The sequence below is a fragment of the Homo sapiens genome, chromosome 18, assembly GCF_000001405.40.
Source record: "Homo sapiens chromosome 18, GRCh38.p14 Primary Assembly".
Taxonomy (NCBI): Eukaryota; Metazoa; Chordata; class Mammalia; order Primates; family Hominidae; genus Homo; species Homo sapiens.
The window spans coordinates 45,095,220-45,112,113 of NC_000018.10; the positions used below are offsets into that span (position 1 = coordinate 45,095,220).

General features: G+C 40.6%; 1 long non-coding RNA gene across 1 annotated transcript in view, besides 2 other annotated features; it reads right to left on the reverse strand.

Annotated features, from left to right (window-relative positions):
- LOC105372091 (uncharacterized) overlaps positions 1-16,894 on the reverse strand; it is an 87,209-nt gene that overhangs the window by 25,944 nt on the left and 44,371 nt on the right. The window contains exon 3 of the long non-coding RNA XR_007066349.1: positions 16,541-16,666. This is a non-coding gene — a long non-coding RNA (uncharacterized LOC105372091). The remainder of the gene's footprint in view (positions 1-16,540; positions 16,667-16,894) is intronic.
- Positions 8,251-8,300: an enhancer, noted in NCBI's record as "active region_13259". NCBI's record gives its function as "activates an Ori minimal core promoter by ATAC-STARR-seq in GM12878 lymphoblastoid cells {active_cell/tissue: GM12878}" and the evidence as "EXISTENCE:reporter gene assay evidence [ECO:0000049][PMID:35858748]".
- Positions 8,381-8,450: an enhancer, noted in NCBI's record as "active region_13260". NCBI's record gives its function as "activates an Ori minimal core promoter by ATAC-STARR-seq in GM12878 lymphoblastoid cells {active_cell/tissue: GM12878}" and the evidence as "EXISTENCE:reporter gene assay evidence [ECO:0000049][PMID:35858748]".

Here is a 16,894-nt window from a genome sequence, read left to right on the forward strand (position 1 = left end):
TATCCCCTCTTACATATGCATTTCTCTTTTTTATACCCTGTTCCAGATAACATTTTTCACTCATCTTTGCCATTCCCTCATCTGCTCACTTCTCTGTCCCCATAACAAGGCTTTGGCCCCTAGAAATCCAAGGAAACTGCTTAAGCACGTGTCATCAATGACTTTCAAGCTTTCTAACCTGAACGTAATCCCCAGGTGTCAAGGGAGAGACCAGGTGGAGGTAATTGAATCGTGGGGGCAGTTCCCTCATGCTATTCTCATAATAGTGAGTGAATTCTCACGAGATCTGATGGTTTTATAAAGGGCTCTTCCTTCGTTGCTTGGCACTTCTTCCTGCTACCTTGTGAAGAACGTGTCTTGCCTTCCACCATGATTGTAAGTTTCCTGAGGCTTCCACAACCATGCTGAACTGTGAGTCAATTAACTCTCTTCCTTTGTAAATTATCCAGTGTCAAGCAGTTCTTTATAGCAGTATAAAAATGGCCTACTACAGAGACCAAGTCCTATCCAGTATACTCTATTTCTTTGGCATCTGTCACATCCTTACATCCTCCATCCCCATTGCTATGTCTTTATAGGAACTACTATTTGTTGAGTCCCTATATATGAGATATTGTGAGATATTGTTAGACCTTTTTTTTTTTTTTTTTGAGATGGAGTCTTGCTCTGTCACCAGGCTGGAGTACGGTGGTACAATCTCAGCTGACTGCAACCTCTGTCCCCCGGGTTCAAGCGATTCCCCTGCCTCAGCCTCCCAAGTAGCTGGGGTTACAGCTGCATGCCACCACGCCCAGCTAATTTTTTATATTTTAGTAGAGACAGGGTTTCACCATGTTGGCCAGGATGATCTTGATCTCCAGACCTTGTGATCTGCTCCCCGCCCCGGCCTCCCAAAGTGCTGGGATTATAGGCGTGAGCCGCCATGCCTGGCCTTTAGACCCTTTTTTTTTTCTTTGAGATGGAGTTTTGCTCTTGTTGCCCAAGCTGGAGTGCAATGGCGCCATCTCGACTCACTGTAACCTCCACCTCCCAGGTTCAAGCGATTCTCCTGCCTCAGCCTCCTGAGTAGCTGGAATTACAGGCACCTGCCACCAAGCCCAGCTAATTTTTTGTATTTTTAGTAGAAACAGGGTTTCACCATGTTAGCCAGGCTGGTCTCGAACTTCTGACCTCAGGTGATCTGCCTGCCTCAGCCTCCCAAAGTGCTTGGGATTGCAGGTGTGAGCCACCACATCCAGCTAGACCCTCTTTGAAGATTATTTTAGTTTATCTTCACAACAATCTGGGGAGGTAGGTAATATTATTTCTATTTTACAGCTGACAAAATGTAGGCATAGTTAGGTTAAGTGATTTAGCATGGTTCACATAGTTTCTAAGTAGCATCCCAGGTTCATCTAGTTCTTAAGTCAATGCTCTTTCCAAAGCACTGTTGCAATATGCTGTTTGAGATCTTAGTATCCTTCCTATGGACTCCGATGTTTTCTCTAAACAGTCTCCCTATAGCCCTTCTTGTTCTGTTAATCTCTCCTCAACACGTGGAATCAGAGTAATTTGTATAAAACAAAAATTCAAGGATATTACTACTTGGCTTAAAACCTGTCCATGTTACTACCTGGTTTAAAAAAAATCTGTGCCACACTGAGATCATTCTTACCTCTTTAAACCTCATTTTCGTTTGATTTGCTTTTGCCTCCAGCTTATTTTCTTGTCGTACTCCTATCTGCTCCCCATATCAAGCTCCTAACCACTCCCAAACTTGCCTCCCTATTTCTCACTGCACCCTCCACTTGGGATTCCCTTTTCTAACTTGTATTCTGGAGAACCTCTGTCATTCAAAATTAATCAGCTCAGCTTACTCATTGAAACTATCAACCTCCTAGTAGAAAGCTTTCTAGGTTTTTCCAAGAAAAATGTAATTACATGCTCTTTTTGTGTGTGTGCGTGCACCATGCTCTGTACATTTTTCTCTTGTTGAACTCAACTTTGGTTCACTTATATTTGTTTACCTTTCTTCTTCCTTCTATTAGAAGTATAAGGTCCAAGAGTCAACGAACACATATTGCTTGTATTTACATTCCTACTACATGCTTGTCACATGTGAGGATTCAATGATTGTTAAATGCACGAATTCATGAAAGACAGAGACTTGAAGGCAAGACTAAACAGTCTAGATTTTATTCCCTAGATTTAAAAAAAAAGGAAAAAAAAGTCATTGAACTTTTGGAGAGGTTTTTGGCTTGCTTTTGCACATGAGAGTACCACGTTCAAGGTGGATGTAACTAGTAGCAGTATGCAAGGTGGACTGACATGGGGAGCACTAGATCCTGGGAACACGTTACTAGACCACTTCTATAGACCAATAAACAAATGGAAATGTGGTGGAGAAAGACACTGATAATGACCTCTAAGACACAGCTATTCAACACATGGAAAATGAGAGCATCATAGCAATTGTGCATTACTATGCTCTTTTGATGTGATGCACCAGCAGGCAGTGAATATGGAATAAACAAAGAATTGTGTCAAGTGTGATTTCACAATGCCTTTGGATTTTGGAAATGGTGGGTGGATTGCGGGCGGGCGGTGGGGGGAGTTTATCATGTCTTTTTATACAAATCATAAATCTCCTTGGCACCAATTGAAAGTAAAGGCAGCAGCCTGAGTATTTAGATTTTATGCTCCATTTATTGTCTCATATTCCTCCAGTCAAAGATAATTATTTCTTAATTAATCATACGTAAACAGTCTATATCCTTTGCAGAACTGGCTACTTAAAAGAACATTTATCACAGCAATTGGTCCCACATACCCAACTGCAAATCACCCACTTTCAGTTGATTTTGCAGCAATTGACTCCTGATCATTTTTGTGTTTCTGATGGTTTGGGGAAGGCAGGGGGACAGAGATTGGAGGAGGCCAGAGGAGGGATAACATGCATAATTATCCTTTTTTTCTTGTTGATTCTCTTTAGAAAAAAATGTACGAGGATATAAAAAACCCACCGTATATTGAGATATTAGCCATTTGTATTGGAGTTGCTCAAAAAGTTATTTTATTTCAACCACAAGAAAAAGCTCCATGAAGAGTTCCCCCCAGAACAATGCCACCACCACACTATTCAATTTTCTGGAGTTATATTTATAAATGACCTAAAACTGTAGACGTGGGTTAGTGCCATCTTGGTATGGGTTATATGATCTTGAAAGGAATGTACTGAGTATTTTATCTTCATGGGCTCCCAGTGAAAATGGAATCATAGCATTTTGGCATTGAATCCAGGAATATCTAGTCATTTTGTCTTGTAGTTCTCCAGTCTCTTTAGAAAGTACTAACCAGCTTTCCCTACCTCATGGACAATAGCTGATTGATGAGCAATGTTAAAGATTTAAGTTAGGCTAAAGTCCACGATACAGAGACTAACCACCCAGGTTGTCCAGTTAAGTCAAGAAGACTTTATCTTAGAGAATGTAGTGAACCCAACCCTATGTAACTAAGGTAAGTCTAGAAAGCAGCAGCTTCAGCCATCATGTGGATCCTTCTCTTTGAAAGCAAGCTATCTGATGGATCTTCATATCTCCTCTAGCAATAAGCTCTGTTCCTGGCCCCAAATAACAATAACAAGGATAGCAAGTATTTATGCAGAATTAATTAGGGGCCAAATACTATTCCAAGTGCTTTCCACATATTAATTTAATCTTATCAACAGTCCCAGGAGGTAGACTTCTATTACTATTCCTATCTTACAGGTGAGGAAACTGAAGTATTGAGAAGGCAATTCGCCCAAGTTTACAAAACTAGTATGTGCAGGTGCTTAATACATGTAAATCAATTGGGATTAAATTGTGAGTTCAAAGATGAACTGAGCCAGTTTTTCTCAGTGTCTGTGTTGCTGCTTATAGTGCCTTAGATCCAAGAGGGTGTTCCCTTCCCCTCATCATATTTCTGAGATAAAAGTTAAAACCAAAGTCATTAACCAGGCCTTCTCTGCTGCCAGAAAACCCACTGGGACAGGTTTCTCAGCCAACTTCATTGTTCCCAATGGAACCTTCTGTCCATCTCATTCAAATGAAGGCTTTAAGAGGTTTTCTTTTCTCCCCTTTTTCTTGGCCCCCTCATTTGTATTTTCCCTGCCCATATCAAACCTGTAAATTTTTCCAAAGAGCAGTGATATGTTCTACTCATCTTTTTTCTAACTCCTTTTTATATAGCAGGCACATAATAAATGCACGTTAAATATCTTAAATATTTATATAGCAGGCACATAAATGCACATTAAAGAAATATATAAATATTTTAAATATTATTATATTTTTAAAGTGGCAAGCTTAATGAATTCCTTGACGGTATTAAATTGCAACAGTTGTACCACAAATGCTTTGTAAACTGTCCAATCTAATTCTCCTTGCTTAGAAATGAGGACACTGAAGGCTGGGCATGGTGGCTAATGCCTGTAATCCCAGAACTTTGGGAGGCTGAGGTGGGCGGACCATCAGGTCAGGAGTTCGAGAACAACCTGACCAACATGGTGAAATCCCGTCTCTACTAAAAATACAAAAAATTCGCCGGGCGTGGTGGTACGTGCCTATAATCCCAGCTACTCAGGAGGCTGAGGCAGGAGAATTCCTTGAACCTAGGAGGCAGAGGTTGCAGTGAACCGAGATTGTGCCACTGTACTCCAGCCTGGGTGACAGAGCGAGACTCTGTCTCAAAAAACAAACAAACAAACAACAACAATAACAACAAAAAATGAGGACACCGAAGTTCACTGGAGGAAACTCATCTATCCAGTGCCCAGTTGGTTGATTTGCAGGAACCTGAAAATAAGGCTACTATGAAATCCTCTTCCTTCTTCCACCTTCTTGCTTCCTTCCTCTTCTTTCCTATGACCCTGTGCATGACAACATGGGAAGGGTTCCACCTATATATTCAGACCTAATAAAAACCTTGTAAACAGGGTATTTTTCTCCTCGTTCTGTAGATTTAGAAATTTAAAATTTACTAGAGTTAAAAAACCCACTTAAGGCACTTAAATAGTAACTGTTGAAGCTGTGTTTGTCCGATGCCAAATCCTGTGTTCTTACCTCGTTTACTACAAGAATGATATGACTTCCTGAAAGAAACTTTGTTTTTGTATTGCTATGGAAAAATCACCCAAGATATACTAACAAAAGATCATCACGATATGCAAAAGACAGCACAGGGCATGGGACTTTGTGTAAAAAAAGAAATATATAAAAACATATATTTTATTGGATTGAGTATGCCAAACTATTTACACGAATGGACAGTAAATTAATCACAGGGATTACTGTGGAAACTTGGCAAATAAGGCAAGAGTGGGAGACTTCTCACAGTACTTTAAAAATACATGTTAAAATTTGAAACATATACATGGATTATCTCAACTTTTTTAAATTTAAAGCAGGTTTTACAAAGTATATGGCTTTTTATCTTGGCCATTTTGACATGGGGCCTTTTTAACCTGGTCATTAATTACAACTATTATAACTGTATAACTGCATGTCAGACATACTGCAATTATTCATTGTTGAGCCATGCCAAATCAAAACCAGTACAGAAGCCTCAAGATTATGTCTAGAGCTTCTGCTTTTACCAAAAGTACATGAGGACTTTGAGAGAGAGGCATTGTGAGGCCAGCTTCCCAGTCTTTAGCCACCCGACTGCCACAAGGCCTCACGTAGTTTTGCCATGTTGGAATAACCCCTGCCCATGGTCAGTTCTTTAGCCTCATATGCTCATTCACTTTCATTTTCCTCTTGACCAAAAGTAGATCTGTATGGCCAGAATAGATTCACATTATCTAGGTTTATAAGAGCCTGGAATATAAACTACAGAGCCAGCTTAGTAATTTATAATGAGACATATAACAGAAGAGCCAACACATTCTCTCCCGTAGGCAAAGACACATGGTGGTGCAACCTGTATTAACAGATTGCTTAATCCATATGTCGTGAGAACAGGGTGGATGAGCTCTGTGCTGGTGAGCAGTAGTTCAAGGTTGATACTACTATCTCTGCAGCAGGAACAGCTGTGCCACCAGGACCTGGTAGGTTCTGTCCTCAGGTCTGGACACATCTCCCTTGGTCATGGCTTAGATGACCCTGGAACTCCACAGTGTTGTGCTTCTGATAGACATGTTCTCCCTCTTTAGACCTGTTAAAATATTCAGCCTGGTTACGTTTGAACTGGTGACTATTCGGATCTTTAAGATGACTTAGCACAGTTTAGTTCTAATCACTACTTGAATGAATTACACGAACCTGAAATGGCCAGCCTCATTTACCTTAATCTCCAATTTTAGTGTCTCCTTCCTGTGAACTTCTTGCCACACCTACCATGAACGTTCTACAGAACCCCTGTCTCCTGACCCCACTCCCAGGATTTTTCATGCACTCTTCCTGAGAGCTGACCAGCTGTAAGTTGTGGCCAACTGAAAATACTCAAATCTGATATCCAATCCTGAGGCTTTGTTTCCTTCAGTCTGGAAAACTATATTTTCAATTTCTCTGTTTACATGAAAGGGAAATAGTGTATTTTTGTATTAGGACTGTATACCTACATAAGAGTGAGTTGGCCTCCACATTAAGTGTCAGAGAGTACAGAGGAAGGAACCATAAGATTCCTCCAGAAAGGAGGTGAAAGGACTGGATGGAGCATCTTGTTTACTACAGAAGGTGGTGAAAGAGCCACAGACAGACTTGAACAGTCTCACACTTTTGCTGATAGCTGATGCTGCAAGAGAGCATCCAAGGGAATTGAAGATCCTCAAGTCTGTCCTCACTTCTGCTAAGGGTGTTTCCCTGGCAATTTTTTTATAAAGCAAATTCCTCCGGAAAGATCATATATTCAAAGTCAAAAGTGCAGGAGGATGTATGGCAGTGCCTTTCTGGGAACTGTTTTCTTTTTTTTCACGTGAGGTCCTTCCTTTTTTGTTAAACTACATTGTACACATTCATTTCTTGTTGTACACAACAGAAATTCAGAGTAAAAAGTAAGAGTTAGAAACTTCTGTAGCAATGTGACATTTTCTCTACGTCCAAGTGTAAAACCAGTGGACTTTAGCCCAGGAAAAGGGAATAAATGGGTTTGAACATTGTCAAAGTCATGTGGTAAGTGGTACATAAAGCAATCTGCATAGAAACATACGTAATAGGACCATGCACTGGTCTGTAATGAATGAGGGGAAAAATATTGGTCCTTCTCCCTCACAGGTAGCTTGGAAAGCACTTCTGTATGGTGAAAGTCTTCCTCTTGTTCTTATTCCTCAGCTATCCAGTTCCCTCCTGGAGGCAATCAATGTTATTGGTCTCCTGTGTTTTACACACACACACACACACTCACACTAGCTTATTAAATGTTCTGTATCTTGTTTTTGCTTTTTTCATTTAGTAATATGTCTTGACGATTTTGTTTGAAACTTTTAAAATAGCTGGAGAATAACCACTTGTACAGAGGTTCTTTATTTTAGCCACTTCTGTTTTGTTATGAAGATACTGCTTAATGAATAATTGGATATATTTTATTTCACACATGCAAATAAAATGTTTGACATTGAACACTTGTGTTTAAAAGGAAGCATGCATTTAATATGCATATTAATTGTTAAATGAATGCTTGTTGAGTTAAAAATGCAAGAATTGGTGAAGCTTTTGAGGAGAGATAGGCAGATCATCTGTGGAGCCTTAAGTGCAGGGAGAATTTGGCGTCATAGGGTGGAGGCTTTGTGAAGTGCGGGGACAGCTCACAGAGCACTCAGGTTCACCTCCACGCTGCCTTGTAGGAAGGCAAGAGATTAGCAGAACTGAGCCTCAAACTCAGGCCCCTCCTATCTCAACTTCCTCCCTCTTTAGACTCCTGCTGGGATGCTCTGCTCCTTTCTTTCTGTTAAACTACATGTGTATACCCATCACTTGTTGATTGGACTTACATCTCTCTGTAGCAGGACGAGCCGCAGACAAGAACCCCTCAGATACCGAATTGTAGAAGGAAAGGGCTTTATTCAGCTGGGAACATTGGCAGACTCACGTCTCCAAAAACTGAGCTCCCTGAGTGAGCAATTCCTGTCCCTTTTAAGGCCTTACAACTCTAAGGGGGTCCGTGTGAGAGGGTCTTAATCAATTGAGCAAGCAGAGAGTACGTGACTGGGGGCTGTGTACACCTGCACTGGTAATTAGAGTGGAACAGAACAGGATAGGGATTTTCACAGTGCTTTTCCATACAACGTAATCTATAGATAACATAACCAATTAGGTCAGGGGCCAATCTTTACTAGGCCCAGGCTGTGGTGCCGGGCTGTCTGCCTGTGGGTTTCATTTCTGCCTTTTAGTTTTTACTTCCTTTTTTTCTTTGGGGGCAGAAATTGGGCATAAGACAATATGAGGGGTGGTCTCCTCCTTATCTCCTGTGCCTTTTCAGCTTCAGGAAGACACAGTGGAAAAGTGGAATGAGTTTAGGCTTCGATATAGATGCAAGGTCCTGGCTTTAAAGCCTTCTCTACCTGTGGGACTTGGGCCAGTTGTTGAACCTCTCCATTTCTTGTGTCTAAAATTCAGACTGTAGTGTGTCCTCTAGTGTGTCCTCACAGAGTGGGGAAGTATGAATTAAGCTGGCTCAGGTAATGCTCCAGTGCTGGTGTCCAGGTTGTAGTAAGCTCTCAAAAGGTTTTGCCCCCTCACTACCTTGAACACCTGCCCAGATGCTCTGTAAATGCTCACTGAACTGAATCTAGTCACATGAAACTTCACAGTACATTTCTGTATCTCTTCCTTATTGAGGTGGCTGCTTGTGTCTTCATATCTTCAAGATGCATTTACTGCCAAAGAGCTTGGGAGGCCAACTCTTAGAGGCTCATTGCATTAGAATGAAAAAAGCACAAGAGGCTGATTGTCCCCCAAGGAGAAACAGGCAAGATACTGAAGGAAAGGGAGACTGCTGCTCTTCTAGGAGTTCAATGAGAAACAGTCATTAGAGCCACAGCCTGCTGTGCAGAAAACAGGCTGTAGTGAGAGAGCATTTTGGATTCACTGACCCGAAGTTCATGCTTCCTGTCTATCTGCTGCATTCTTATATTACCTTAACAAATGTCAGCCTAGCTGTTGAAGGTACAAATGGTACACTGCAAAGAATGCACTGAACATGTTTTGAGCTCAATGTTGATGCCTCCAAAAGGGCAGGGTGGGAAGGAAATGACCAGGGCCAAAGAGGCTAAAGGGTGCCCTGTTGCAAATTGGCCAATTGAGAGTTGTTTGCTGGGACATGCATTCTGGTGCACGCTGGTGGTGCACTGGTAGTCTGTATAGCTCCTGTTGCGTCTAGTCCATGAGCTCTTTAGCCCAAATGCACTCAGATGCTCACAACAGGCTTTTAAATAGCACTTGCTGGATGAATGGCAAGTGTGTCTTTGCAGTCTCCTGCAGGATTAATTAGCAGTTTCCTGGACTTTGGTAGGATGTCCTTAATGCTCAGCAACAATCCAGCACAAATCAAAAACCTGTGTAATGGTCATTACCGTTAGAACTCAATACCAGGAATCCTCACCTTTTGTTATGAACTATTTAACTCCCTCTGCCTCTAAGAAAAAGCACATTTTTGAAATTAAAGCTGCATTTACACCCTTAGAGAAAGGTGTTTTGTTTTAGCTTGAATACTGAAAACTACTCAGTCCCTCAGGCTAATGTGAACATGATCCCCTTGTTAGTCTTTTGCTTTTCCCATGTAATACAAATGTCAAAGTCCTCAATACCAATACAAATTCCCTGCTCTTGAAAAAGACTGGTAAAAAAGGATAAAGATGTGGATGAAGAAGAGGATCTGGCCTCTCCAGGGGGACTAAGCAGAATTCATAAGAATGCCAAACTTTTCAACTGAGGCTTTAATCATTATCCATCCATCCACCCATGCATTTAACATCTATGGGACATCTACTATGCCAGAAACTGTGCTTTGGATAAAGGATGAAGAAACCACAGCCTGTGTCTTCAAGCTTCTAGTTATGAGCATCCACCAAGAAGTTACCATAGGTGATCTTGTCAGATGGCAAGAAGCCATCTGAATTCAGAGCAAGGAATTAGGGATGAAACCAGAGAAGGCCTGAGTAGTCATGGATACAAGAACATCTATCTCCCTCAATACTTTTGTGAAATTACCAGTTTTCTGAGTCTTTTCCCTTTACTTGTAATAACACTAGTCAAAGGTTGATTGCCTGATTTATTCCTTTTGGTTCCTTCCTCTGAAGGTAAGGATTCTGCTTAAGGAATGTCTAGCAATTAGTAAATACCTACAGCATAGGACTCATGTCTTCTAGAATGCCAAGCTTATTGCTAAATACATGTATAACTAATAGGTGCCTGTCTGGCCTGTTGTAGCTTTGGTATAATCTTCACTAGGTTCCATGAATACTGAGTAAGAACAGGACACTGGCAAAAATGGCAGTCATTTCTTTACTGCTGTTTCTTCTTCATTCACACCACCTTCTAGAGAACCTCCTCTTTGAAATGTAACCCCAAGTACCAGAAGCTCCCCAAGCCATGCCATGGCTAACTACACCAGATGAAGCTCAGGAAATCCATGTCTCTTTTCAGAATTAAAAAGGAACTCCTAGATTAAGTAGATTAAATTAATGAGTGTCAGTGCTTTAACTAGAAACCTATATAGATTCAAAGGGTGTGGCCACTTTTGGGTACTGCTCTGATTTACGTGATGAGTGCACGAGTAGAGAAGCTCATCTGTGACAGAAAAATGAAGCAGAGATGAGAAATTCTTAGTATCTCCCAACTCTGCAGGTCCTATGATACCCCATTATGTAGCCATTGGGTTCTATGAGTTATATATTTACATGTATAACTTCTTTCTAATATTTAAACTAGTTTGAATAGACTTTTAGTGCTCATAACCAAAGGATAGCTGACTAAGGAGAATAAAGGTCTAGGTTCTTACTAGGAATTTATCAGGATAAAAGGCTAGATACAGAAGGAATATGGACTGTGGAGGTCAGAAAGCACCAGTCTGTGATAATCCAATAATCTTACAGAAATAGGAGAAGAAAGATATCAAACCAACATCAACTTTTGCCTGTTTTAGATTAAAAAAAAATCTGAAGCATTTGGTCTGTTTCTGCTTTCCTGATGATCTATCTGATGTGAAAATCTTGCATTGTCTTTATCTACAGCTGTTCCAGCTAGTTGGTATGGAGACATTGTGGCTTTACCACTGCAGCAGCACTGCCCAGTAGAACTTCCTGTGATGACAAAAATGTTCTATATCTGTCCAACACAAAAGCCACAAGTCACATGTGGCTGTGGAGCACTTGCAATGTGACTAGTGTGACTAAGAAACTGAAAATTTAATTTATTTTTAATTAACATAAATGTAAATAGAAAGAGTCACATGTGGCACTCTCGTAGCTACTGTATTGGCTAGAGTGGCTCTAGTATATGCTGCCAAATCCCACAACTGTTATCTCAGTGCTACAACCCACTTCAACAGCCGCCCAGCAGTTCCTCTCTTCTCTCTGTTGTTTCATTATATGGCCAGTCTTCACAAAGCTATGGGAGAGATCTTCAAAAATACAAATCAGCTTAGGAAACCCTCCTGTTGATATCCCTCCTGTGATTTATCTTTACATTTGTAATAAAATCTAAACTTCTCCTGCAGCCTGAAGGTCCTACCTGATCTGACGCTTGCCTACCTATTTCGCTGTATCTTCTTCCAATCCTCCTACCACTCTGTCCCATATTCACCACACTCCAGCCTCACTGGCCTTCCTTCTGTGCCCTGGACACACAAAGGACACCATCAGCTCAGGACTTTGATTTCGTCTCTTTTAAACTTAGAATATTTTCTCCCAGATCTCGCTGTAGCTGGCTGTTCCTTGTCATTTAGATCTCAGTTTGTGTATCAGTTTCTAAGATAATTCTTTCCTGGCCACCCTGCCTAAAGCAGCTTCCACAATGGGTCCTTCTTCTTAAAATGTATTTATTTTCGTTCTGTTTCATTTTCTTCATAGGACTTAGCACTTTCTGAAATCATCTCATGTATATCTATCATATTATATCATATTATATCTTTATCCACTTACCCATCTACTCATCTATATTCATCCATCCATCCATCCATCCGTCTTCTAGTGCTCATAACCAAAGGATAGCTGACTAACATAAGGAGAATAAAGGTCTAGATTCTTATTTTTTATCATCCATCTTATCTTTTACCATCTACCTTTTACCTCTGTATCCCTTCACAAAAAGGTAAGCCCATAACAAAAGAGGATTGGTTTGACTTAGTCACTATTGTAGCCTAAGAGCCTGGAACACTGCCTGGAATGCAGTAAGTGCGCAACAAATATTTTCTGATAGATAGACTGACTCACTGAATAACTACTTATTCATAGTTTGGAACCCTTGGCTGAGGCTCTTGCAAGGACTCCTTCTCACACAGCACTGGATCCACCAGAAAGGTACTGATATGTCAAAAACTGAGCTCTGACCTTTCCCCAAAAACTGACTCCTCTGCAGTTCTCTCTGTCTTGATTAGTGATAGCACCATTCTGGTACTGATTCATGCCAAATACCTCAGTGTCATCACTGACTCCTCACTTTCTCTTACCCCACATCCTATCCATCAGCAACTTTTGGCTTAGATGACCACTTCTGACTACCTGCACTGCTACCGTCTCACCTAAACCACTAAAATCCCTTCATCTCGTGCCTACATTATGGTAGAGCTCTCTTAACTTCTCCTACTCCTAACCTTGGACTCTTCATTCTAGCTTCAACAGCATGATTCTGTTAAAACATAAATCAAATTATGCCATTTCTTTATCCAAAACCCTCCAGTGCCTTTATTTTACTCAGAGTAAAACTCAAAGTTCATTTAGAAAGACCCACAAGTCCTATACCATTGACCCCATCACCTCTTTGATCTCACCTCTAACAATGCTTTCTCCTGCTCACTTCTTAACCACACTGGCATCCTTGTGCCAATAAGATGCCAAGCACACCCCATCTTGCTGACTTTTACAGCACTGCCTTTAAAAACTAGAAGTCTCTGCCCAAGCCACTCCTATTCTCTTCCCACTTTATTTTTCACTCTAGCACTTAAAGTCTTTTAATATATTACATAATTTTTAAATTGTGTGATTCATTCCTCATCTGCTTCTCATAGAACATAAACTCTATAAGGGCAGGGGCTTTTACTAACTTGTTTGTTCTATTCACTGCTACAGTTCCTATAACAAGGCCTGACTCTTAGCAGAATTCAATTCATCTTTGTTGAATGAATGAATGAATGAGTGGCACATAGCCAGAAATTTAACTTAACTAATTTAAATAGCTAATGAGATAATTTTCCAGATAAAGTGAGTTTATGTTTTAAATAGATGGAAGTGTCATCAATTGACTAGGATGCTAAAGGATCAACTTACTGAAATACTTCTGTCCCAAAGTATTGAGGCCACTGAGAGTCCAAGTTGATTGGCTCAGCTACTGATTTTTCAGAGCAGAATATTCTCCTTCACCATTGGCACTTAACACCGCAAGATCATCAGAACAACTTGGCGAACACAGTATGCCCGTCAGACAACCACAAACACAGGGAGGAGGAGATCTTTGTAAATAAGTCAAGAAAGTGAATAAAAAATCTCCTCTGTCAGGATTTTCTTGTTAGCATTGTTTACAAACTGCAGGTTCTTTAGAGCTGCTTGCCACCCTAGGAGATGACACCAGGGGGCCAGAAACTATCAAGGGAGTCAGGCGTGGTAGCTCACGCCTGTAATCCCAGCACTTTGGGAGGCCAAGGCCGGCGGATCACAAGGTCAGGAGACAGAGAGTGGGGATGCAAACACCTCAATAAATGAGAGGTCACTTCAAGAGATGGAGGAAAGGCAGCCTGGACCCATAGCTGCATCACTAGCTTTTCCTGTCACCTCAGTTGTGCCAAAATGCAATACTTAGCTTCAGGCTACTTCAATGATACCAACAATAAAGGGAATGAAAGTGGTATGGTGTCTTCCATTTTAAAATAATAAATCAAGGATTCAGAGAGGCCAACTAGTTTTGATATATAAAATTTGCTTAGTACATGCAGTAGAGCAGCCACCAAAAATCTCTCATCACGTCTGTGAATTCCCCACACCCCTTACTCACATCCATAAGTTCTAATGAACTGAAGCTTTCTTATTTTAAGTGAGCATCCAATAAACTATGACTTTCCTTGACTCATCATGCATTTCAGCTCTCCACTGGTGGGAAAAGAGAGAAGAATCGTTTCCTAGGAGTTGTGATGAGCTTGTAAAGAATTTTATGATCCACCCTTTCATGTCTTAAATCTGTGAAGTACATATGTATTGAGTATCTGTCTGCTTTGTGCAAAGACCTAAGCTAGGAATTTGATCTACAAGGAGAAGGGAGAGACAGGACTCTGGTGATAGAGTCCAACCTGTAAAGAAGTAAAGGCAGAGGGACAGCTGCCTGTGGTTGAACACTTATATTGGAGAGCCATCCTATCTGAGGAGTAGTTTCTAAAGCCAGAAAATATGATTTGAAATCAACATTAGCTTGAAATATCTTAGGAAATACCACAGTGAGAACCAACTTACAACTTTTTAGTAAGTTTATCTCAGCCAGTTTTTCCACTAGAGAGATCTTTCCTGGCTGAGTACCAATGAAATGATTGCCTTTTGTTTAGGGGCCTTGAGAATACAAAACAAAACCAAAATGAAAACATGAAAAAAAAAATGAAAACCCTCAAACACAAAATCCTGGTCAATGTGGGAAGATTTCCACAGAACAAGGGTCACATGCAAACTGAGACTATCTCAGACCAGACACTCATGAAGGGGAATGAGCTACAGAATCACCATATTTTGTAGCTTAATGTTGATCTTTCTCTATTTTGGCTAAGCCCATATAGTTGAGTTGAAGTCCAATGCCTGAATAAGACAACGGGGTGTTACTATGAGTCAGGTGTTTGTATACTTTTCTAATCTTTAAAATTCATATGCAAGATATACATCATTAGCTCCATTTTATAAGTCAAGGTGATGAGGCATGGAGAGGTTAGATAATGTGGCCAGGGTCACACTGCAAGTAAGTCAAAGTCTGTTATCAGTCCCAGATGGCAAAATAAAATTGGATAAGTTTAGGATAGTCTAACAAAAGTATTTTCAAAGTGTGTGCAGGTTGCAGTGAGCTACAGCAGATAGTGCAATATCTTGGTGTTACCCCACTAAGCCTGAAGAAGAGAGGGGAGGCATAAGGAGAATGTGCAGAGCACCACTGATTGGGACCATGGTTCCCTTGACGGATGCAGATAACCCAGGTGAATAGGCAGGGAGGGAGCCAGGGGAATAAATATTCTCCAACTTCTTTCCATTCTCTGTCTCCTCTCTCTCACTGCAAGGTTCCTCATTAACTGAACCCTTCAGGAAGCAGAGGACAAAAAAACCTTTTGATATAGTCTGTGCTGTCAGCCTTCTGGGACACTGAAGAGGGTGCATGGTGAGTCAGGAGCAGTGAGTGGAAGCTATCCAGCACAGTTCTCTGCCAGATAGTAAGTCATTCCTTCAAGTGAATGACAGCAGCGTTTTCCTCATCTTTATATTTCACAGAACAATGTCTGTCATATTATAAACTAACAATTTAAGAATGCAATAATACCCTGTCTTTCTTTCCCTTTCTGTTCTGTCTCCAAGATGAGAGGTCAAAAGCAAAAGATGATATTAACAGTCAACTGTGGGCTGCTAGTGGTTGTCTAATAAGAGAAACTGTTGTGCTCCTCTCCGCCCCCACCACAGTTTGCGTGGCGCGAGTGGAGAACACGCTAGAATGGGATTCCCTCTGGTAAAGACTCCATGTTCCTTGCCCTTTTGCAGTTGGCCTGGAGGCTGGGAACAGGGAGGATAAGTGTTTCTTTTTCTGGGGATGCTTCCAAGCCATTTTGTGGAGCATCAGCAACTTTAGTTTGGGTCAAGACCAAAGTTTGAGAACCAAGCTATTCAGTGAAATTCTTTACAAGATGTTGGAGGAAAAAAAAAAAAAAGCACTATTTTTCAAGGGATCAAAATTGTTGTGGAAGCACTTCAGGTTGAATCATACTCATGAGAAAATGTTGCAGAAGAGGACTGCGTATCTGTTTCTTCAATTAGTACTTACTCACTGTCTATCAAGTTCTCTAGTACCAAAAACAATCAGCTAGAGAGAACATTAAGGAATGAATAGACACTAGTTTAAAAGCTACAACTAAGAACTTTTTTTTTCTTCTCAAAGCCCTTCCCAAAAATCCAGTGTCTCAAAAACTGGTCACTTATGCTCTGAGGAGGTTGTTTTGCTCCACTTGGAGTATTTGTTTCTGACAAACCTTTCATATGGTGTTGATGGTCTTTTAACCACAAGCAGCTGGGATCTCACTATTCATTAAAATTTCTCCGGGCACATTTGCAGAAGAAGAGAATGTGTAATGAAATCTTCAGGCTTAAAGGTCCCAGAGAGGTCATCTGGTATGTCCCCTGTCTTTTTGTACTCACTCTTTCCCAAAGTAGTTGATAGGAATCCTCCTGAGGGTGAGAGCTTTGAAGAAGAAAAATAATCCTCTCTTCCAACTTGCCTTGTCTTGCTGCAAGAAAGCAGCCTGCTTCCTTTGAATCTTGTGCCTGTTCAGAATTAAAAATGGAAAGTACAATAGTTTAATACATTTTATGACCTTCATGTTTTATTAAATTTCATAAAGGCGTTCCATTCAAAAGAGGGTCAGATTTTAAATTAAGGCTGTACAACAAATATTTAAATTCAGATTTAATAAAAAAGTTATTGTGTATTTATGCAATCGCAATTGATTATAAAAGACTTAGGTATTGAAATTTTAAAAGGGTAATAGATAT